The 25,502-nt window shown below is 35.6% G+C and overlaps 1 annotated feature.

Annotated features, from left to right (window-relative positions):
* Nucleotides 944-1,646: an enhancer, noted in NCBI's record as "NANOG hESC enhancer chr14:28590607-28591309 (GRCh37/hg19 assembly coordinates)". NCBI's record gives its function as "activates a minimal SCP1, AML or CMV promoter by ChIP-STARR-seq in naive H9 embryonic stem cells {active_cell/tissue: H9 hESC(naive)}" and the evidence as "EXISTENCE:reporter gene assay evidence [ECO:0000049][PMID:30033119]".

The following is a 25,502-nucleotide window of genomic DNA, read 5'->3' as shown; positions in this document are numbered from 1 at the left end:
AGGCAAATAAAGTCTCCCAGGTAATCTCTCAGAGTTGCCCTCAGAAGAATAGATGGAAAGTCTGTCTGTGGGTGGTGACAAACTTTTAGTCTCTTCATCAGCGGTTAATCTTTCTTGGTTATTTGATGAGATTCTTAGGGAGAGGACCTTAAGACAATTGCATTTTTTTAGAATAAAATTTTTTAGTCAGATAAGAAAATTCCAGGAGTCCCTTTGTGCTTGAAGGAGTGATGTGGGGTGGGGAAGGAGAAACAAGAGATTTGAAAGTCTTTGATTCTGAGACAGCTTTTAAAGCCTTGCTATTTTAGTTTAAAGTGTTCAGCATGCCAAAGTATCATATAAGATATCATTTTCAGAACCCCAACAGGATTATACAAATATTCTTAAGGGAAAATTAGCACTTGAGAAAGACCAACTTTATGCCCATAAAACTTGCATTGTTTTTGTGCAGAAGAGCCTCATTCTTAGTTCAACGCTCCATTGTTGCTAGCTTAAAATTCTAAATAATATTTGAACAAGGGGTCACATTTGTTTTTGCACAGGGCCCCAAAATTTGTGTTACCAGTCCTGCATTAGAGATAAAATTTGAAGCTGACATTTCCTCATTGTGTGATCCTCTGAACCATAAGGTTTCTGAGAAGCTCCCAGGCTAATGTGATGTAAAGGGAAAGTAAGAGGATGAAATACTATGATTCACATTACTTAATTATTCTGTTACTATGATTTCCAGTTTAATATTTGATTTCTATTTCAATATCTCCCTTACTCAATCCAATGTAATACTTACATAATATTACACAGTAAATGACTATGGATGAACATACTAGAGGAAATTGTTACACTTATTTTTTTGTCTTTTTTTTTTCCTTTTTGTGGAGAATGGGATCTAACTATATTGCCAGGCAGGTCTCGAACTCCTAGGCTCAGGCTATCCTCCCCCCTCTGCCTCCCTAAGAGCTGGGATTATAGGTGTGAGCTGCCACACCCAGCTAGAGGAAATTGTTAATCTAACAATGAAGATTAAAACACGGGGACCCTAGAATTTCTATTTAGGTGGTATATATTAACAATAATAGAATTGAAGAGGTTGGCCTGCTGATTTCTTCAAAAGTTATATTTGCCTAATGACCAAAGAGGATCTTAGAGTTTCCTTTAACTTCAAGAAACTTCAAACTTCAGACAGGTAGTTTTCCTGCCTCTAGGACCCTAACTTCCTTTTACTTAGAGCATCTCCTGGAGAAAGCATATAATTGCAAATTGTTTCTCTGCCCCTTTCAGATGTAAAACTTTAAAAAGCCTCTGGCCACATTTACCACTAGGGAAGTCTTTCTTGAGAACTTGTGAACCAACCCATTAAAATGTAAACATTCAGGAAGACAAGGTCTTTGTTTCTCACTTTCTATGGAAGGATAAGTGCCTGATTTCAGTGAAGTGCCTTGCTCCAAGTTGTAAAACTACTTCCTTTCACGAAAATATAAGAAAGTTTACTTTTACTCTGAGTAAAGCCAATTAGCAAACACAGAGAGCCTATAATCCCCCCACCCCATCTCTTGAAAAACCCTCCAGCCTTTTGTTTTAGTGCAGTTGAATTCAGAAAGAATTCTGGCCTCAGTCTCCTATCATAACATCCTTGAATAAAATCTTTGTTTTTTTTGTTTTTTTGGTTTTTTTTTTTAACCTTGTGGAGGGCAGTTTTTGCTTTGATACAACATTTTGGGAATGTTGAGAAAATATCTGTTGTTCATGTCAAAAGTAAGGTGCTGATAAAGATTATAATTTTGTAGAGAAGTAGAAATCAGGCCAAAATTTGATCTGTCTCTAATAAATCATGTCTTTGAAGACACTGCAATGAAATGCAATTTTTAATAAATTTAATATCCTGATAAGCAAACATTTTATTAGTAATATGATCTAACACATCTGTCACATTTCTGTTTCAAACTAGATTGAAAGTAAATAAAATGAAATAAAATTAGAAACATTGTCCCAGCCTTTATATAGATGGTCCCTTTCCCAGTCCTTGTAGTCATAAGATAGATGAATGAGTTTTGCTTCCTGGCCAGCTCTATGCCCACCACTGCCAGGTGGTGATTTAGCTTTTCGTTTTGTGCTTGATGTGATGCCATATTTTTCTTAAGATCCTCTACATCTCAGATGTGATTTTTCAAAGCATTTTTTTTTTTATGCAGTGCTTTTGCAGCCCCAGTCCCTCTCCCCAATTATTTTCAAATGCTGGGTATTATGCTCACTGTTCCAAAGAAATGGACCTCATATTTCAACATCTCATCTAATAGGATTTTTGTTTCTGCTCTGATGAAATGTGGCTTAGATATATTTATTTGCTGTATTCTTCTACTTGCTGGAAAAGTGCATACCAAGTGAATGCATTCTTTGTGTATTGAAGAGTGTTTACAAGAAAATAAGAGAGGCTTTGTATGCAAATGAAATCTTTGGCACCAAGTTCCACCTAGTTAAACACCTAAATATGCCCCCTGCAGAAAATTAGGTGTTGAATTGTGCACCAGTGTTCTTAAAGGCATTAATTAGACCTTTAATTTTATCATGTGGGAAATGTGCTGTAGTCAAGAAACACCTGGTGAAGACAAATACAAAAGAAAACAATCAAATTAGGGTGTCCTGATAAACAGCACTGAAATATTAAACAAAACATATTGTGATTAAACAAACAGGGAGCTGCAGACACAGAGGAAAAAGAAAGAAAACTCATACAAAGGCTTCCAACTTCAAGTAATAGAAATTCCAAAGTGAATCACCTTTTTAAAAATAAATATTCCCAGAAAGAAATAGAGAGGCCCTCTTTATTGGGGCAAAAATCTTCACGGACTAATATAAAAAATACTAATAGCCAGAGTTGAATGGATTTTGATGTCTTCTCCAAAGGCCTTTTTTTTTTTTTTCTTATTTACACAATGCAAGTACAAGCATACCTTGGAGATACCACAGGTTTAGTTTAAGATCACGGCAATAAAGCAAATACCACAATAAAGTGAGTTGTGTAATTTTTGGTTTGCCAGTCCATAAAAGTTATATTTAAACTACACTGTAGTCTATAAAGTATGCAATGGCCTGGTGACAAAAAAAAAAAAAGTATATACCTTAATTAAAAATTAAAAATTACTTTATTGCTAAAGAGTGCCAATCATAATCTGAGCCCTCAACAAGTCATACTCTCTTTACTGGCTTTAGAGTTTTTGCCTCTATGTTGATGGAGGCTGACTGATCCAGTTGGTGGTTGCTGATGTTTGGGTGCTGTGACAGTTTGTAAGTAAACATCAACAGTGAGGTTTGCTGTATTGATTGACTCTTACTTTTACAGAAAATTTCTCAGTAGCATGTGATATTCTTTCATGGCATTTTACCCACAGAAGAATATCTTTTAAAATTAAAGTCAATCTCTTTCAACCCTGCCTCTGATTTATCAAATAAGCCTATGTAATATTCTAAATCCTTTGGTGTCATTTCAACAATTTTCACAGCATCTTTACCAGGCATAGATTCTATTTCAAGGAACCAGTTATTTTTCTCATTCACAAGAAGCAACTCCTAATTGATTCGTTTGATCATGAGATTGCAACAATTCATTCGCATCTATAGGATCCACTTCTAATTCTAGTTATTTTACTGTTTCTACCACATCTGCAGTTACTTCCTCCACTGAAGTCTAAAACCCCTCCAAGTCATCCATGAAGGTTGGAATCAACTTCTTCCCAACTCCTGGTTGATATTTTGACCTTCTTCCATGAATCATGAATGTTCTTAATGTCATCTAGAATGGCAAATGCTTTCCAGAAGGCTTTCAATTGACTTTGCTCAGATCTAGCTGAGGAATCACTGTTTATGTCAGCTATAGCCTTATGAAAAGTATTTCTTAAATAATGAGACCTGAAAGTCAAAATTACTCTGGTCTATGGGCTGCAGAATGGATATTGTACGTTAATCTCTTTGTACATCTCCATCAGAGGTTTTGGGTGATTAGGTGTATGGTCAATGAGCAGTGATATTCAGGAAGAAACCTTCGCTTTTGAGCACTAGGTCTTCAGTGGGTCTAAAGTATTCAGTAAACCAAGCTGTAAGCAGATGTACTGTCATGTAGTCTTCATTGTTCTGTTTACAGAACACCCACAAGGCATATTGAGCACAATTCTTAAGAGATCTAGGATTTTTAGAATGGTAAATGGGCTGGGCACAGTGGCTCACACCTATAATCCCAGCACTTTGGGAAGCTGAGGCGGGTGGATCATGAGATTAGGAGTTCAAAACCAGCCTGGCCAAGATGGTGAAACCCTGTCTCTACTAAAAATACAAAAATTAGCCTGGCATGGTGGCGATCTCCTGTAATCCCAGCTACTCGGGAGGCTGAGGCAGAGAATTGCTTGAACCCGGGAGGCAGAGGTTGCAGTGGGCCGATACAGAGCCACTGTACTCCAGCCTGGGTGACAGAGAGGGACTCTGTTTCAAAAAAAAAAAAAAAAGTTGAATGGGCATTGGCTTCAACTTAAAGTCACCAGCTGCATTAGTCCCACAGAAGAGGGTCACCCTGTCCTTTGAAGCTTTGAAGCTAGGCATTGACTTATCCTCTCTGGCTAGAAAAGTCCTGGATGCCATCTTCTTCCAATATAAGGCTGTTTCATCTACACTGAAAATTAGTTGTTTAGCATAGCAACCTTCATCAGTGATTTTAGCTAGATCTGCTGGATAACTTGCTGCAGCTTCTACATTAGCACTTGCTGATTCACCTTGCACTTCAGTGTAATGGAGATGGCCTCTTTCCATAAACTATGAATCAACCTCTGCTGTTTTCCAACTTTTTTCTCTGCATCTTTCTTACCTCTCTCAATCTTCGTAGAATTAGTGAGAGTTAGGGCCTTACTTTGGGTTAGCATTTGGCTTAAGAAAATATTGTGGGTGATTTGATCTTCTATTCAACCACTAAAACTTTCTTCATGTCAGCAAAAAGGTTTTTTTTTTTTTTTGCTTTCTTATTATCCATATGTTCATTGTAATAGCATATTGATTTTCTTTCAAGAACTTTTTCTTTCCATTCACCAGTTGGCTGATTGGCACAAGAGGCCCAGTTTTCCGCCTTTTTTGGCTTTCTACATTCCTTCCTCACTAAGATTAATCATTTCTAGGTTTTGATTTAAAGTGAGAGATGTGAGACATTTTCTTTCACTTGAATTCTTAGAGGCTATCTTAGAATTATTATTTGGCCTGATTTCAATATTGTTGTCTCAGAGAATAGAGTGGCCCAGCAGAGGAAGAGAGATTGGGGAATGGCTGTTTGGTGGAGCAGCCAGAACACACATGACATTAATTGATTATGTTTGCCATGTTATATGGGCACAATTAATGACTCCCTAAAACGATCACAATAGCAACATTATAGATAATTGATCACAGATCACCATAACAAATACAAAAATGAGAAAGTTTGAAGTATCATGAGAATTACCAATATGTGACACAGATACATGAATTATCTGTGAGCACATGCTGTTGGAAAAGTGGCACTGGTAGACTTGCTTGAAATGAGGTTGCTGGAAAACTTCAGTATGTAAAAAAATGTATATCTGCAAAGCACAATAAAGCAAAGGTCAATAAGAAAATGAAGTGTGCCTTTAGTTTCTTGATTATTCCTTCTGACCTTCCCTATAAATTTAAGAAATCCTTGCAGATGATGGGGTATGACTCTCCAATGATTGTTGCCCTGGAGAAACATGAATTTAAAAATTTATCCATACATTAAAATACCTTCATAAGAGCCAAACAAGAAAAAAAATACCTGGTGATAGTTCACAGCATGTGATTGTAGCACAGTAATAAGAAAATACACATTAAAGAGGGTAGGTTGGTCAGTTTTATGTTACCCAGATTTTCCCTACCCCAAGCCCAGTCTGCACACCATGAAGAGAGACACTGTCTGCTTGGGGGAAAGAGAGGAAAGTGAGTATAAGATCTTGCTTTGGATCCCAACAATAAGCAAACCATAGTAAAACTCAGCACTGGGCAGACCCCCCCATTCCCCCATATTCCAAGGATGTACTGAAAAACTGTCTCTACACTTATTCCAGCAGCAGATGGCACCACACAGTCCCAGGCTTCAAGCCTGTATGACAAACTTGATCTCTGGCCTGCACCACTGGCAACTTGACTACAGGAGCCCCTGGCTTTGCACAGCCCTTAGCAGTAGGCAGGCCTTAGTGGTCTTGAGCTTCTGACACACCCTCACATCACATCTGCCACAGAGCATTCCAAGGCAAAGCCAGTCTATAACTGGAATAAGTATCTACTTCTTGAAATGTACAAACATCAATGTGCAACCACAAAGATCAAGAAAAATCAGGGAAACAGGACATTGCTAAACAGAAAAAATACTGACAGTGACTGGTCCTAAAGTAATGAATATACATAAACTGCCTGACAAAGACTTCAAAATAATTGTTTAAGGAAGCTCTTTAAGCCTCAAGAAAGTGCAGAGAAACAACTCTGTGAAATGAGGAAAACAATAAGTGACCAAAACAAATAATTTAATAGAGAGATTAAAAAAAAAGGCAGAAATTCCATTGCTGAAAAATACAATGAGAAATTTAAGAAATCCTTCAAGACAAGGTTTGGTAACTGAATGTTTCTAAATATAGTAACTAGTCAAGATAGTACAATAAGTAAAAATATTACTTTGTCTGAAGGATATGTAAATATATACGTGTGTGTGTATATATATGTATATCTTGTATACACACATGCATATAATTATTATTTCTGGTTTTCACTGGGGAAGAGCCTTACATTTTTGTGTGTTATTTGATGAGATACCTTGCTTCACTACAATCTACTAATCATGTGAAATGTATTCCTATTAAAGGGCAGAGGCAGTTCCAATAGTAAGACACCTTGAATTAACTTCAACAGTTATTATAGGATAAGAATACGTGAATGAATCGTCAAGTTTTTCCACAAAACAGACATAACCACTGCAAAATATACTAACATTACAAGTCCCAGAAACGTAGGACTCATTTTTACACTTAATAAGATGTAGTTTTCCTTATCCTTTAATTTATTTCCTTAATGTCTTCATTCTTTCTCCCAGAAACCATTATTCCTTTTGTTAATTTGTCTATAATAGTGCTTTCAATAACCTCTTTGATATCACTGAAATTATTATAACTGCATTACAGAACAAATAGAAGTAGAAAACTAACCATGCCTCATCGTGGCAAATAGGAGTTGCAAACATAAGTAAGTGAAATACTCAACAGATTACGCTATTAATCAGGGAACCTATATAATGTACATTGTTTGATTGCTATGTCATTTTTTTAGTGAAAAAAATGATATCTTGGACAGGATAGGAAAACATTTTCTTAAAGGTTCAGACGGTGATATGGTTTGGATCTGTGTCCCCACCGAAATCTGATGTTGAATTGTAATCCCCAGTGTTGGAGGTAGGGCCTGGTGGGAGGTGATTGGATCATGGGAGTGGTTTCTCTTGAATGGTTTCTCATGAATGGTTACCATCCCCTTGGTCTGTCTTCCTGATAGTGAATGAGTTCTCATGAGATCTGGTTGTTTAAAAGCATGTAGCACCTTTCTTTTTTGGGTAGTGCATTAGAGTTCTCTAGAGGGACAGAACTAATAGAATACACACACACACACACACACACACACACACACACACACATATATATATATATGAGTTTCTTAAGTATTAACTCACACAATCACAAGGTCCCATAATATGCCGTCTGCAAGTTGAGGAGCAAGGGGAGTCAGTCTGAGTCCCCAAACTGAAGAACACGGAGTCCAATGTTCAAGGTGAGGAAACATCGGGCACAGGAGAAAGATGTAGCCTGAGTGGCTAGGCCAGTCTGGTTTTTTCACGTTTTTCTGCCTGCTTTATATTCTAGCTGGACTGGAAGCTGATTAGATGGTGCCCACCCAGAATAAGGGTGGGTCTGCCTTTCCCAGTCCACTGACTGAAATGTTAATCTCCTTTGGCAACACCCTGACAGGCATACCCAGGATCAGTTCTTTGCATCCTTCAATCAAGTTGACACTCAGTATTAACCATCACAGGTAGCAAACAGCATGACTATAGTCAATAACAGCTTATTTATACACTTTAAAATAACTAAAAGAATGTAATTAGATTTTTTGTAACACAAAGAATAAATGCTTGAGGGCACGGATACCCCATTTTCCATGATGTAACTATTTCATATTGCATGCCTGTATCAAAACATCTAATGTACCTCATAAGTATATACACATACTATGTACCCATGAAAATTAAAAAGAAAAAATTTAGAAAGTGTGTGGCACCTCCTCATTCTCTTTTGCTCCTGCTTCTACCATGTGACATGCCTGCTCCCATTTCACCTTCTGCTGTGATTATTAGCTTCCTGAGCCCTCCCCAGAAGCTGATGCTAGAGCTGTGCTTCTGTATAGCCTGCAGAACCATGAGCAAATTAAACCTCTTTTTCTTATAAATTACCCAGTCTCAGGTATTTCTTTACAGTAATACAAGAATGGTCTAATACAGATAACTACTTCAAGCTTTGAAACAGGCATCTAGCCCTGGGGATATTCCTTGTCAATGTCTTTTAAACTGGGCTGTGTGCCTGATGGCCAATGGTGAGGGAAATAAAGAAGCCTGTGGAAAAACCTCACTTATGAAGTGACTTATTGCTTTGGTCAAGTTGCTCTGCTGAAGACAAATAAGCAGAAATTGCTAAAATTTCAGAGGGTTGGATTTAGGGTTAAACATAACTACAAGCTTATCAAAGAGGCTGTCATTTTGAGGGATTTTTAAAATAGAAAATATATTGTCTTCCCTGATAAAATGGAATAGAAAATGCTTAATATCATGTCCTACATGACCTCGTTTCATCCTACTCTTTTACCTTTCACTTAACACTCTCTCACTGAACCATTCTCTTTCCCAGTTCTGTCTCATTTGCTATTGTTTAGGTTGCCCTGGTTTAATTCATTCATGCCTTCCAATGAGTCAACATTCCATTTGTCTGGAGGAGAATCAGGATCGACATTGTTCATTTCTTTTCATTCCATATGTTTATGTTTATTAGCTAAATCCACTGGAAAAAAAAAGATGATGCTTGTGACCTTTTCAGTTTGGGTTAGGTGCTTTTCTTAGGTTTCACAGCAGGGCATTTATAGCTTTCTATGTCACTGAATTATTTTTTAATTTTTAGAACAATTTTAGTTTAGTGAAAAGTTATGAAGATAGTTCAAAGAGGTCTCAAATACCCACACTAAGTTTCCCCTATTGTTAACATCTTACATTAGTGTGATACATTTATTATAATTAATGAACGAATATTGACACACTATTATTAACTGAAGTCCATACTAATTTCAGATTTCCTCAGGTTTTTTTTTCTTAATATCCTTTGCTGTTTCATGATTCCAGCCAGAATACTACATTAAACTTACTCATCATTTCTTCTTGGGAGAACCGTTGGCTGTAACTGTTTCTTAGACAGTTACATGAAATTGTTTTTGATGACCTTTCATTTCAGAGTAGTGTTGGCCAGGTATTTTGTAGCATGTCCTTTAACTGGAATTTCTCTCATGTTTTTCTTATAATTAAACTAGGTTGTATTTTTTGGGAGGAAGATAACAGAGTAAAGTGTCATTTACATCACATAAAATCAAGGATACATATCAGCAACATGACATCATGGTTGGTGTTAACTTTTATCATGTGGCTGAAGAAATACAGATCAGATTTCTTCTACAACATACTTTTTTATACCCATTTCCACACTGTGTTCTTTGGAAGGAAGTCACTATGCAGTTAAGGAGTGGGGAGTTATGTCCCACCTGCTTGAGGGATGTCGTAGACCCAATAAAGGTTCCCATAGAGTGTAATTGCATTTCCTAATTCCTAAAATCTCTGAATAAGTCATTTAACATTGCAAGATAAATTAAAGTTCAAATGGAATTAAGATTGTTAATCAGTTGACCTCAAAATAGGGAGGACATCTTCAGTTTTTCAGGTGGGACCAATTTATTACAAAGGCCCTTAAAAGTGGAAGAGAATCAGGAAAAAAACTGTGACTATGGAAGAATAGTCATTGAGATGTAATGTTGCCTACTTTGATGATGCAGAAAGGGGCCATGAGCCAAGATAATGTGGGCCGCTTCTAGAAGTTGGCAAAGGCATAGAAAAGAACTCACCGCTAAAACTCCCCAAAAGAAATGTAGCTCTGTCTCCATCTGGATTTTCCCTAGTGAGACCTTTGTTGAACTTCCAACCTGCAGAACTGTAAAAAGCTAGAGTACCTAAATACATTATTTTTTTTTTTTACAAGAGAGAATTGTCTCTTCTCCTCCATGTATACTATTTATCCATTCTGTCACTTATATTGGTGTGGACTTGTCAATATTTATTGTATATGTTAGGTTATAATTTCACAGTAATTAATTTACTTGGCAAATTGTTCCAACTATGATCATTAGGAACTCTTTCGGTTGGCTCCTATGTCCCTTTGACATACCCCCATTAGTATATGTGTCTGTGTGTTTAGCACTTTCTTACTTCATGCATTACAAGATGCTGTGGGCTCATCAGGTATATTTCTTGCCTGAGTTCTAGAATAGGCTATCAGTCATTTCTACAAGGAACCCTAGTTTCTTTTGTTGTAGAATAGTATTAGAACTAAGGATCTGGGAGGCAGATGGGCTTGTTGCTTCTGGGAAGTCCTTGCTGCTATAGCTTCTTCGCCTAACAAAGCAAAGATAAATATGTGTGTATATTAATCTGTACATGTACATATATTAATATCCATAAATACTTCTCTATGTAAGCATTTATATCTATATTAAGGTGAACATGAGTTTATACTGATTTCTTCAACTTAAATATATTTACACATTGATCTTTTTTTTAACCAGCTCCCCTTACTTGCAACCTCTCACTCCTACAGTGAGAAGGGGTTCCTACTATTCAGCATCCATTTATTTAATTGTTCCAGCATACACATATAGTGGTAGTAGAATTGTTAACCTATGCTCTTATAAAAAAGTAAATTTACCAACTAAAGCACGGTGCTTATGTGAAGTTTCTTTTGCCTTGAGTTTTGCGACATCTCTTCATTTCCAAAGTTACTTAGTGCAAAAACATTTTTCCTTACTCAGTTTAGTGAAGTAATTTCAGAAATTTGTTAACTGAATACTTTTTGTGTCCCATATTATATTTGCATCAAATATAGCACAGAAAAATGTATGGTATACACTTTTTTTTTTTTTTTTTTTGAGACACAGTCTCGCTCTGTCGCCCAGGCTGGAGTGCAGTGGCGCGATCTCCACTCACTGCAAGCTCCGCCTCCCGGGTTCACGCCATTCTCCTGCCTCAGCCTCCTGAGTAGCTGGGACTACAGGCTTCCGCCACCACGCCCAGCTAATTTTTGTATTTTTTAGTAGAGACGGGGTTTCACCGCGTTAGCCAGGATGGTCTGGATCTCCTGACATCGTGATCCGCCCGTCTCGGCCTCCCACATTGCTGGGATTACAGGGATACACACTTTTTTGAAAAAAGACATTCATTGTGTATCTAAAATTAAAAGTTAACTAGATGTCATGGCTTTACTCTGGCATTACTACCCCTTCTGTTTCATGAATACTTCATGAGCATTGACTATACCTTTGATTTGACTGTTATCTTGAAAACTTAACCTAAGCCCTAATAATATCAAAACATAATATAATATTATATATATTATTATTTATATGATTTAATATATATACTGGCTTAATATATTAATAATTTCTGACTCAAGGAGGGAAATGTCGTTTATGTGGTTCCTTCCCAGGTTCCTGCAGAACTAGACTTTTTAAAAAACAAAGAAATAAAACAAAATACAAATAACAACTTCAACCACAATTTACTTATATTTAAATATAAGAAAATTAACAGAAAAATTAGAGAACTGCTTTCTTGACCAAGCAATTTGCAAAGATGTAATATTTGATTGTAAAAATACCACAAAAGGATATCATAAATTAATGTCCTTAGGTGAAGGTTAAAAACAGCATAGGTTGCTAAAATTAAAATAATCAAGATAACACAAACAAGCTCTTCAAAGCCTAAATTGATCAATAGAAATGTTTTTTCATTTTTTTTTAAAAAAAAGGATAATAAAGTTCCCAAATTTTTTTTTAGCACATTATTTCAAAACGTTTTGAAATCAGGTGGTTAGAACATAAACCCCTATGAAAGAAAGTAGAGTGAGTCAAGTCAGAATAGAGAAGATTATTATTATTTTTTTCAAATAGTTTTTAAAATGTCATTCAAATTAGCAGTCTCTAGTAGTTACTAGTTCTTTTTTTAAAAGAAATAGACTGATATCATATAGCTTTTAGGTATTACTTTTGATAATTCTGTGAGTATGGTTAAGGTTTCTAAAATTGAATGTGGGCAAATAGAAAATATAGGTGTGTTTACTAAGTTTGGTAACCAAAAACTAAGTTCAGTTAATCAATGGATATACCTGAGCTGCAAAGCTCTAAGCAAAAGGCATCATAATCATATGTGTAAAAATAGGAAAATGCAAGGTAATTGAGTTGTCATGATGAAGTGAAGTCAGGAGGTAAGATGGTGAGGAAACATCAGAATTAATCTTGGTTAGACTTTAATGTTGGTTAGGTAAAGAGGTGGATGCTGTGTTTGAAGCTAAATGAAAAGCCACTAATGTGGCATGAAAAGTTATTGAAAAGTTTTACCTAAGTGTATACCATCATTCTTTCCAATATGTACTTACTTAAAGGGGTTTATTTACTTTTTGTTGTTTTGAAATTATTTTCTATTTTTTTAGATAATGCCTAAAAAGAATCTAATTGAGCAATCATATCCAAAACTTTGAAAATATTCTATTTAAAATAATTTCTTCAATAATTCCCTGACTTTTCTTGCCTGTAAAATTCCAATATCATGCTGAACAACAAACTGCTCATATATCTCTCCCAGATGGAAGGTTGAGACAAATTATTATTTAATGGCAGTAAACAGTGCTTTAGCTTTTCTCTCTGACTTCATTAACTGTGGTGAGTCAGTAAACATTTAGTTTTAAATCGTTGCTTTTTTTTGTTTGAGACATACTGTGTCTTTCTGATTTCTGTTAATAGAATGCAAATGAAGGCAGCTAGAGAGTATAGAGTGATGCCGTTGGAAAATGTTTACTTTCAAACATTAAGACCACTCACTATATTTCTAAACTAATCATATTCCTTAAATGTACTAGATGCATTAAGGAAATTTTAAAGATTTATTTGAATGTTGCTGTTATGGGTTGAATTGTGTTCCCTCAAATATTCATATATTGAAATCCTATGCCCTAATGCTTCAGAATGTTACCTTGTTTGGAAATAGAGTTGTTGCAGATGTAATTAGTCAAGTTACAGTGAGGTGACACTAGAGAACAGTGGCCTCTAATCCAATATGATAGTCACACGGTATCCTTATAAAAAGTAAATTAAGAGATTAATTTACTAAATTCAAAACTCAACTAAATTAAAAGCTTGTATTTGTCTACTACTAAGAAAATTTGTAATTTTTACCACCAACATCCTACCATACACAGCTCTTTTAATTCTGACTTTCTTCTAGTGGATGTATATCTGATGCAGTTAGCTATGTGTCTGGATCCAGAGCTGGACTAGTATTTCAAATGGAGTCAATCATAGCATGGTGTTTCAGTGATTGGTACATCAACAAGTATGGGATCCAAGCAGGGACACTGAAATAGCATAAAAGGTTTGCAGAGACTGTTGGAGAGCATGTACTTTGTTAGCTTGTTTGTTTGTTTACATCGAGAAGGTGAATGAGGGTGCTGTTAGCATGAAACTGATTTTAGCCACCACATTTATCCTAGATATAAAGTCAATGCAGTGAAACTTAAAACAAAGAAATTATGGGATCACAAGTATTGATGATCTCATTTGAGGTTCTGAATTAAACCATACCTTGAAATTTTTTGTCCTGAACTGGTTAATTTATTTCATTACTATATAAAAGTTTGAACGGGCTTTATCATTTGCAAGGAAATCAAAAGGCTTACCTTATAACTCTATATATCTTGCAAATTTTAATTTGCATAATAGTCAACTCTTGAGAAAGATAAATGAAATAGAAATATCTCTGTCAAGACTGAACCAAAAGAAACGAGAAAGGAGAGAGGAAGGAACAATGGGAAGAAAGAAAAAAAGAGAGATAAAGTGCTATTATACAAATAAAATAGGGAATGCTAAATTAGTTCTTAAATTTTATTTTGTTTTTCTACATCAATATCCCAAACTCAGATTAGTTAGGTAGTTTTCACTTGTGTGCAAATTTTGGTTTCAGACTGATTTTATATTGATGTTTGATTTAAAAAAGTTAAAGCTTTTCATCTTTTTCATTGCATGAAACAATTTAAAGCATATATATCATTACTGCTTGCATCACAATTTGAATTAACTTGCAAAATAGGATGATTTTTTATAATTTTATTATTTATTTGGTATTTTTGTCTTTAGTATTGGGGGGTGGTTTGTATTTTCCTTTTTTTTTTTTGTTTCCTTTTTCATGTTTTGTTTTCCTAAATGCAGCTATATTTTTTCAATCTTAGAATTGTATTAGTCTGGGTTCTCCAAAGAAACAGACCTGAGAGAGTGAGACAGAGTGAGAGCAAGAGCGAGAATGACAGAGAGAGAGAGAGACGGAGAGAGAGACAGAGAGAGAGAGAGAGAGAAGAGAGAGGAAAAAATAAAAAGAGATTTATAAGGAATTGGCTAACATGATTACAGAGGTTGACAGGTCTCATTTAGCAAGCTAGAGACCCAGGAGAAGTGAGTTCAATCCAGTTTTGGAACCAGTAAGTTTTCTGTACAAATATAATATCACGGTTGGGTTTGGGATGGGGCAAAATACTTCACAATTGTTCTTTCAAAGGCAAGTGCTGAGACTTATCTCGTTGTAGCATGTTTTTTCCATAACTCAGTTTGTAGTATTATTTATCTAATTCTAATTAAAACCTGTTTCTTCCATTCTTAATTAATGTATAAGTGAAAGCAGGAGCCATGAAATTTTAATAGTTGTTCTCAGGCTTGCCTATACATAGAAATTACATTGGGGTGGCTTTTAAAAATATGTGTGCTTGGGCTCCATCTGCAAGATGCTGGTTTAAATGGTCTGGACTAAGTGCTGGGCATTGGCACTTTAAGCACTCAGAATGATTCAACATGCTTCCAAGGTTGAGAATCACTATTGGGTGGAAGCTTATGCAATGAGTGAACATCAAGGGCCTTCTAACAACTTTCTTTTGGTGTATTTTAATATTTTTCTTGAATTACCATTAACAATTGGGAAATTAAATCAGGTAGAGGGTACTTATGCCTATATAAATTTTATTTTATGTTTTATTAAGCTACATAGCGACAGACTTAAAACATGTAGGAAGGTATAATTTAGGGACACCTAAGGATTGATCTACCCAGAGAGTTTCTCGCCATTTATCCTGCCTTATGGCCTGCATCGTCTATACTATTTCTAACCTTGCATATCAGCACAATGTTTCTCAGCAGGGTTGCTGGTGTATGTGTTTGGACACCTTTCTGTTGTGAAGGATCTTATCCACAATTGCAGGGTGTTTGTTATCTGTGGTTGCCTTGCCCCCCAACACATCACAAGTCATCAAAAGTGTCCAAAAATTTGAGGCTTGTGAAGGACCTTTGTATAGAAACAAATATATAATGTGGAATGAGAGTATTATCATTACAAGTTATGAAAATATAGTAGAAAAATGGTTCAAATGTGTAGGGCAATCTTCACAAACATTAAATTCAGCAGAAATGGAATAAGTCTGGATGCAATATTACTTCACAATTTTCTGTACTGTAAAATTACCAGAATTGGCCTGGCACAGTGGCTCACACCTGTAATCCCAGCACTTTGGGAGGCTGAGGTGGGCAGATCGCGAGGTCAGGAACTGGAGACTAATCTGCCAACATGGTGAAATCCTGTCTCTACCAAAAATACAAAAATTAGCAGGGCATGGTGGCACACACCTGTAATCTTAGCTACTCAGGAGGCTGAGGCAGGAGAATTTCTTGTACCCGGGAGGCGGAGGTTGCAGTGAACCGAGATTGCACCACTGCACTCCAGCCTGGGCGACAGAGTGAGACTCTGTCTTGGGAAAAAACAGACAAACAAACAAACAAAACTTTACCAGAATTCTTTCTTCACCAAAAAACTGAATGTTCATATTTTTTTTCTCAATCCTTATTTTTTCACTTTTTACCTTGAAAACCAAATCAGTTTATTGAAATGGAAAGAATTAATATATAATCATCTTTTGAAAAATAATATATTTATAGTACTATAAATTTCTGTAGATTTTTGAATCATAAACTTGGAAAAAATTAATGAGGAGATTACATATTATGTCAATAGGATAGATATATTGCGTTAAATAGCAGAGTTTTCTTAAGCATTATTTCTGCTACAATTACAATAGCAAGAATAACAGTTCTATTTGATCATATCCTAAACTATTTAAATTATCAATGCAAAATAAACCATCCCAAAACATACTGGCTTAATGTAACAACTGTTTTATTATCTCTCATGGTTCTCGAGCTGACCAGATCAAGTTGGTTGGTTCTTTCGCTCCATAAGTTATTAGCTGGGACTGTAGTCATCTGGGAGCTCAAAGACTCACTTACAAGGCTGGTAGTTGGTGCTGGCTAGCAGGCAGGCCTGCATGTGACTCTACCACATAGCTTGAACTTCTCAAAACAAAAGGGCTGGGTTCCAAGAGGCAGTGTCCCAGGCATATGCATTCAAAGACAAAAAAAGGAAAAGTCATTAGTCTTCTTAAAAGCTAGACCCAGAACAGTCATGTTATCATTTGGAACATAGTCTATTGGTTCAGAAGGCACAGTCCATCTGAGGCAAATAGAAGAAAAATGAACTCCAACTCTGTGAGGGAAGAGTGACCAAGAATTTGAAACAATTAATACATTGCAGTTTCTTTCTGATTATAAATGAATTGCAATAGTCCGACATTCCAAATACTCCAGATTCTCACAAAGCTTCATCCCATTACAAAATCAAGATCATAGTCCAAGACCCCACCATTTAAATTATGTCCAGGTATGGATGAAGCTCATGAGATATGGCTCTTCTACAGCTGAAGATCTGACAACTAAAGAGACAAGGCATATATCCTTTTACATACCCAACACACAGAGGTGAAACAGGGACAAGAGAAACACAGAGGATGTGTTCAATAAAGAAGGGGGAAATTGAGAGTAAGAGTCCAGTCACTGGTTCATAGAAATTCTGAAATACAGCCAGACCCATCTTGCCATTTCCTTGATGATATCTTAGACCACCAACCTGAGGGTTGTTCTCCCTGGGTCCTTATTCTGATTTCTGGCCTCCCACTTTTGCCCTGTGAGTCATCCTTCTTTTTCCATATGAAATGTTCAGGTTTACAATAAAGTCACCTCCAGATCCATCTTCTGGCCCATAGAAATTTCAGAACCCAAAAGCCTTTTAAGATTCTAAACTTTTATCACTCAGTTCAAGTTGATGGGTTTCTTATGCATCAAAGTACTATCCATTTCTTTAGATAAAAATCACATCCAAAAAGCTACTAGGTTGGTGCATAAGGAATTGTGATTTTTGCCATTAAAAGTAATGGACCCCTAACTCAATATGACCATTGCTATAAGAAAATGGTCATATGAAGACACAGAGATACACAAAGAAAATGCCACATGAAGCCAGAGGATTGGAGTGATGCATCTACAAGACAAGGAACACGAATGTCAGCAAACCATGAGAAGCTAGGAAGAGTCAAGGAAGGGCTCCTCTACTGGTTTCAAAGTGAACAAGGTCCTGCTAACACCTGATTTCAAACTTCTAATCTCAAGAACTGTGAGACAACAGATTTCTGTTTATAGTACTTTGTAATAACATCCCTAAGAAACTAATACATGTGTCAATATATTAAGTATGGTTTTCTGAATCTTCTAGTCTTGTCCCTTGAGCTATTTGCTATCTCCCCATAGATAACACACTGGTTTTAGTAAGAATAGCCTTATAATGTTTTTTACATACATTTGGGTAAGTTCTCCAACCTCTTTTTTCTTCAAGAGAGAGTTATGGGCTGGGCACAGTGGCTCAGACCTGTAATCTCAACACTTTGGGAGGCTGAGGCAGGCAGATAACTTGAGGTCAGGAGTTCAAGACCAGCCTGCCCAACATGGCAAAACCCTGTGTCTACTAAAAATACAAAAATTAGCAGGGCATGTTGGCATGTGCTTGTAATCCCAGCTACTCGGGAGGCTGAGGTAGGAGAATAGCTTGAACCCAGGAGACAGGGAGGTTGCAGTGAGCCAAGATCGCGCCACTGCACTCCAGCCTGGGTGACAGAGTGAGACTGTGTCTCAAAAAACAAACAAACAAACAAACAAACAAACAAAAAAGAGTTACGGCTATTCCTGGTCCTTGAATTTTAGAATCAGCTTGTCAAAGCCACACAAATAAGTCTATTGAGATTTTGATTTAAATTGCATTGCCTCTATATAAAACTTGGGGGAGAATCAATAACTACATAATTGTAAGTCTTCCATACTTAGAAAATAAATTATACTCTCTATAATTTGTAGCTTCTTTAATGTTTCTCTATATTAAATTTTTTCTCAGTTGTGACGTTTGTTAAATTTATTTCTGTGTACTTTAGAAAGGTGATGGCTAATTTTAATAAATATTTTCTATTTTTATGATTGACTTGTTTTGATTATAACAATATAGTTACTTTTTATATTTTGTTCTTATTTCTTGAAAAATTGCCATTGTGCATTTTAAGCTAAATTTTTTTCTGCTGATACATATTGGATTTTCTGTAACAGAAAATTATATTATATTAGCTGTAAATAATGACAGTTCATTTTTTCCTAATCTACTTTTTTTCTTCTTTTTCTTTTCTTGATGGGCTGGCTAAAACATCTAGTACATTGTTTAATAGATGTGGTATGGATCAGCAACTTTTCTTTATTTCTTACCTTAAAGAGAAAGTTTTCAATGTATCTACATATAAAAAGCAATTTGTTTAAGGATTTTGAAGACACTCTTTTTCAGGTTAAGTGAATTTCCTTCTATCCCTAATTTGTTAGTTTTATTGTAAATAAATGTAGCAATTTTTTTTTGCACTTTCCTTTTTTTCCAATTTTTTCTTCTTAAAGTTGTAAAAGTAGCATGTTACTGTTTCCTGAAGATGCTTTAAACTAATAGTTCTCAAATATTGTAAGCTTAATTATTTTGTATTCTTTACATTATTGTGATTATTTCAATATCTGAAGTCTTATAGGATATATTTACACTAGTTTTTTTGTTTGTTTGCTTTTGTTTCTTATTCTCAGCTTTTATTTTGTGTTTGGTCATTTCTGATTGTGCACTGAGAATTTCTCTTGAAGAATTATTTGTAGTCTTGAGTTATTTGAGACCTAAAATGAAGGTTTATCCTCTGGAAATAGTTTGCATTTGCTTCTTTCTGGCATCTGGGTACATTGCTAGTCTAGAAACACTCTCAACTTTAAAAAGAAATGGCTTACATATTTGCTTTTTTTTGTTTCGTTTTGGTACCACCTAGAAAATGTTAACTGGGGATTTATGTGACTTGCTTTGGTCAATAGAATGTAAGCAAAAGTGACATATTATTTTTGAGCAAAAGCTTTTAGAACAAGATTATATCTCCCCATACATTATTTTTCCTGTTACAATAACCAGCAATGTTTCATACTGACCCTGCTTCATTATCTGGGTTCCAGTGGAGAAAAACCTGGACTCAGGTAACACTGGTTCTAAAATGTCCATATAGTATGAGTAAGGGATACGTATCTGTTGATGCAAGCCACAGGCTGTTTGAATTTATTTGGTACTAGCATGTAATCTAGCCTATCTTGGCTGCTACAGGCAGTGACTAAGGTCAGTAGGGAGGTACACTGGATGAGTGTTGTTACTTTCTGTGATGAGAGCTAACAGCCTCTTGCTATGATTCAGAATGTTTTTGTCTAATTATGGTTGTCTGTGAGAAGATTGTGTTTCGAGTCATGATGTTATGTCATGTAAGAAGGCTTCCAGGGCACGATTCATGGAGTCTGGGAGACCTATAATGGTGCTCACAGGCAGGCTATAGTGACTTTTACAGCTTGGAGAGCTGCTTACCAAGGTTTGGCTCAAAAAGTCTTTTGAAACTTTTCCTTGCCTGATTTAAGGCAGAGGAATAAAGCACAGAAAAAGTTAATTATTTTGCTATGAAACAAAATGAAATACATAGTCATATTTTCTAACTTTTCACCTGTCTCTCTAAAGCTGATACTCACCCATGAAGAATAATGCTTAAACTGCGAAACATTAATTTTTTCTCATGTAAGCACCTCATTCGCTAACATAACGCTCTTTAAATCCCCAACTTAAATGAAAGTATGTGAAAAACATCGCTTCACAAACATAACTGTAAAATATACACATAAACATATTTTATACTCAAGACATAAAGGGTCTTTCTGTCTTTCTGCTGTTTTATTTTTATTTCTATATCTTGCTTTACATCTATAAAAGTGGGGAAAAATCTGTCAATATGGAGAATATATGTTTTCTTCTTTTGTCAGTGTCATGGCCTGCCCTTGATAAAAGGTACACAATACCTAGAATCTGAAGGACTATGCCAGTCTGTGATCTCAATTCAGGTCAGTGTCAGGGGAGCTTTATCCAGATGGGTTCTTTGAATTCCAACAAGAGGCCTGGCCCCCAGCCAGTACAAGTCTATGGAGCTGCAATATTAAGCATTGTCACCAGCTGCAGAAGCAGGATGGCTGTTTGTAGAAGCTGTCAACTGTCACCCATTCCCAAGATCACTTCCCATCCTTGCCTTTGTTAGCAAAAAAATAAAACCCTAGGTTTATCCATTAAATATAAGTGAAATTGAATAACTGGCTTCACTGTTAAAATGAAAATATCGGCTCCATGGCCAGTATTAGAAAAGAAGAAAGGCTATCTAAATAATGAGTGTTGAAATCACATGTGTGAAAATATCTCACTGTTCCTTTGAATTTGATCTGTGTTGTTGGGATAATTATCTTAAAACATAGTAAAATGCAAGAAACAACTTCAGGGGAGAAGGTTTTTTGTTAACAGTTCCACATCTTATAAAATGTAGAAAAATTATAACTTCCTGTTTTATTTAAGAACCTAAATAGGTACCACAACAGAGGATGAAAGGAAGAAAATCTAAACAGAAATAAATGGACTCTTTAGACCTAGAATTTTAAATATAGTTCTTTAATTTATTGCTTGAAATTATATAGTTTTCTCAGTTCTTCATTTTAATTAAAGAGAAAAACAAGTCAAATAATCTCAAGGTTTGTTGAGTGTCATTTTACTAAGTACTTTATAATTGTGTTGGTGTAGAGATTCTGTGATCAGATTGCTTACCTAACGTAATCATCACATATGATTTGGAGAAAAAATGTCGACCTCTCTTATATACTATAAAGAGTGAGGGGCTATGAAAATTATAGAAGTAAGAATGAGCAAAAAGAAAAAAAAAATTTCACATTTTTCCATTTTGTTACTATGAACAACTATTTTTATAGACACTTTATTATTGTTTCTATAATGGAAAATACTTTAAAAACTATTTATTTTGAAGTGAAGAGTTGTATGAGGAAAATCTCCCAAGTATATCTAATTTTTGCTTCACATGTAAACAAATTAACTGCTTCTGCATTTGCATGATAATAGTATTCACCAGCTTTAGGATGAGACAAATGTAAAACAAAGTAGTTAGACTTAACTCTCTTCAGTATTGTTAATAATATAACGAAGTGTAGGTTTTTTCAGATCTATTTAAAATTATGTAGCCTTTGATTGTCTGGAGCTTATTAATCTGTGTTGGGTTTGTTACTAAAGATCACAGAGTATAAATCAAATTATTAAATCAGTTACATAGAAAGAAAAGTATAAGATAAAGAACAGGCCCTTGCAAAGAGAAACTATATTGTTTGTAAATGTAAAAGTACTAATTTAGATGGCATATGGCAACCACTGGGTAACTGACTAAGCAATTGTAGTGAAATTAGATGATCTGTCTTATTTTTAATCTAGCTCCACCAATTAACCCTATTTTGGATGGTGTTAACACCAGTAGCTGGTGCACCTGCCAAATATAGAGATGATTTAATGCTAGTAGCTGGTACATCTGTCAAAAGGGCAACCAACATTCAATTGGCTATTACCTTTAACTTCACCAACTTGAATTCCTGCCACTCTGCAGATTGCTGCAGCTTTCCTGGAAAATTTACCACTCTATTTGTCTTCTCAGTAGGCTGGAGCACAATTGGTGGTGGAAAGGAGCATTAGAAGGAACACTTTAAGGCTCTAGCTGTAGAAGCGGACTGTTGATGTAAAAATAATCAAGGTTTTGGAGTCTGTATTTGAATTCAACTTCTGCTTCTACACTTTTAACAAACTGTGCATTTCAATGTAGTTTGAACTATTGGTACCTCAGTTTCCTCTGTACAATGAGAGAATACAGTGAAAACACACACCAGTGTGTTTTCATGAAGGTTAAAAAGGAATATGTATATAAAAGTCCCTAATTTGACATGCACAACCAGTAAGCTCTTTGACAGCTTCCATGGTACTAACTCTCTAGCATGCCCAGTGTATTAATCTGTTCTCACATTGCTTACTTTTAATGGTAAAAACTGCAATTACTTTTGTACCCATATAATATAAAGGACTACATGTATTAGTCTGTTCTCACACTGCTATAAGGACATACCCCAGACTGACTAATTTATAAAAGGAAGAGGTTTAATGGACTTACAGTTTCCACATGGCTGGGGAGGCCTCACAATCCTGGTGGAAGGTGAAAGAGGAACAAAGGCACATCTTACATGGTGGCAGGTGAGGGAGCGTGTGCAGAGGAACTTCCATTTATAAAACCATCAGATCTCATGAGATTTATTCACTGTCACAGGAACAGCATGGGGAAAACTCAGCACCATGATTTAATTGCCTCCCACTGGGTCCCTCTCATGATACTTAGAGACTATGGGAGCTACAGTTCAAGGTGAGATTTGGGTGGGGATACAGCATAACTATATCACTGGGTAATTTATAAGAAACATGGTTTAATTGGCTTTTCGTTCCACAAGCTGTACTGGAAGCACAGCTGTGGAGGCCTCAGGAAACTTACAATCATGGCAGAAGGTGGAGGGGAAGCTGGCACGTCCTACAGGGCTGAAGCAAGAGGAAAAGAAAGCAAAGGGGGCAGTGCTACACACTTTTAAACAACCAGATCTTGTAAGGACTCACAAGACACCAATAGGAGGATGGTGTTAAACCATCAGAAACCACCCCTATTACCCAATCACCCACCAGGCCCCACCTCCAACACTCAGGACCACAGTTGAACATGAGATTTGGGTGGGGACACAGAGCCAAACCATATTGCCTACTATTGACTTGGAACAATATCAACTGTGGATAGATTTTTTATAGAATACATTTCTATGACATATTGTAAGTTCACAAACAAAATATAAAGTAATTTATTTTTTCTTTCTGGGAAGGAAGTTTGACAGGAGAATGTAAAAAAATCCTAAAAAACTTGCAAGAGATCACAGAACAGATTGCAAAATGGATGAGAAAAAATAGTGGTTGCTTTTTAAAGAAACTTGTCAAATATTCATTTCTAAGTTATTTGTTTTTGTGTCTTTATTATATAGCTATTTAATATTAAATTTAATACATAATCCAATATTTGCTATTAATATGTGTTTTTATGCATGTGCATGTATTTGTAAAAGAATGAAAAGGACTGCATTTCACATCTGTTTTCATGCAGTAAGAAACAGTGACAACACGTGTGGAATGATAAGATCCCATTAAACAGAGTTAATTCAGAGAAAAGAGGCCCTTGGGACCAGAGGTCACTAGGAAAAAATAAATCATAGAATTCTTGAGGGGCTACTGCAAATTCATAATCTGTGGATAAGGGAAAGGTTGAAGTAACCTTATTTGACACTGGCATTATTATAGCTATGCCTAAAGTAAGGGTTAACAGACATGACTATCTCTGAATCATTTAATGAGCTTTTTTCTAAGTAAAGATTCCAGACTTCAGTGTTCAAAGAGTTTTTAATTTTAGTAGCTTACAAGTGGAACCTGAGGGGATGGATAAATATTATATATATGTAATATTATAGAGAGATTATATATATATATCAATAAATAATATACATAAAATTATAAGAGAAATTTTTAGGTGTATTAAAAATGGAGATTAATGAATAATAGTGCACTAATGTTATTTTATTAATTGCGTCAAATGCACACTCTTCATGTAAGATGTTAGTAAAAAATCAACTGAGAGTGGGATATACAGAAACTCTGTCCTATCTTTTCAACGACTCTGTAAATCTATAATTGTTCCCAAATTAAAAGTATTTAAAAATGACAGAGAAGTTAACTTTTGGGGGGCTGATAGTAAAATTTAGAAAACAGCCAACCATTGCTTATCAATGCAGCTATATCCTGAGAAATGCATCATTAGGCGATTTCGTAGTCATGGGAACATCAAAGAGTGTACTAACAAAAACCTAGATGTCATAGCCTACCACACATTTAGGCTATATGGTATATCCTATTGCTCCTAGGTTGCCAACCTGTACAGCATGTTGCTGTACTGAATACTGTAGGTAATTATAACATGATGATAAATATGTGTGCCTCTAAACATATCTAAACAGAAAAAGGTATAGTAAAAATATATTATAATTATATGGGGCCACTATCATATATGCTGCTCATTGTTGAATGCAATATTATTATGTGACACATAACTGTACTTATTTAAGAATGTGAGTAACATCACATGTTAGAAATTTCCAAACAAAGTTACATATTTTATCTTATTCAGCCATCACCAAATTCATGCAAGATTGTGTTAGTTCACTAGTGCTACTGACATAACAAATACCAAAGACTGGATGACTTAGACAACAGAAATTTATTTTCTCACAGCTCTGGATGCTATTAGCCAAGACCTAGGCTGTTGGCAATGATGGTTTCATTCTGAGGCCTCTCTCTTTGGCTTGTAATTGGCCATATTTTCCCTTTATCTACATCTGGTGTTTCCTCTGTTGTCTATGTCTCTGTTGTCTGTTTCCTCTGTTGTCTGTGAATTAGTCTCCTCTTCTTATAAAGACATCAGTTATATTGGATTAGGGCCCACAACAGTGGTCTCATTTAACCTTAATTACCTCCTTTAAAGGCCCTAAATTTGATTACAATCACATTCTGAGGGACTAGTAGTAAGTATTTTATTTTATTTTATTTATTTTTTTTGAGATGGAGTCTTGCTCTGTCACCAGGCTGGAGTGCAGTGGCGTGATCTCAGCTCACT

Source organism: Homo sapiens, chromosome 14, assembly GCF_000001405.40.
Source record: "Homo sapiens chromosome 14, GRCh38.p14 Primary Assembly".
Classification (NCBI taxonomy): domain Eukaryota; kingdom Metazoa; phylum Chordata; class Mammalia; order Primates; family Hominidae; genus Homo; species Homo sapiens.
Note: the sequence above shows the minus strand (reverse complement) of the source record. Positions and strands in the feature narration are given on the sequence as shown.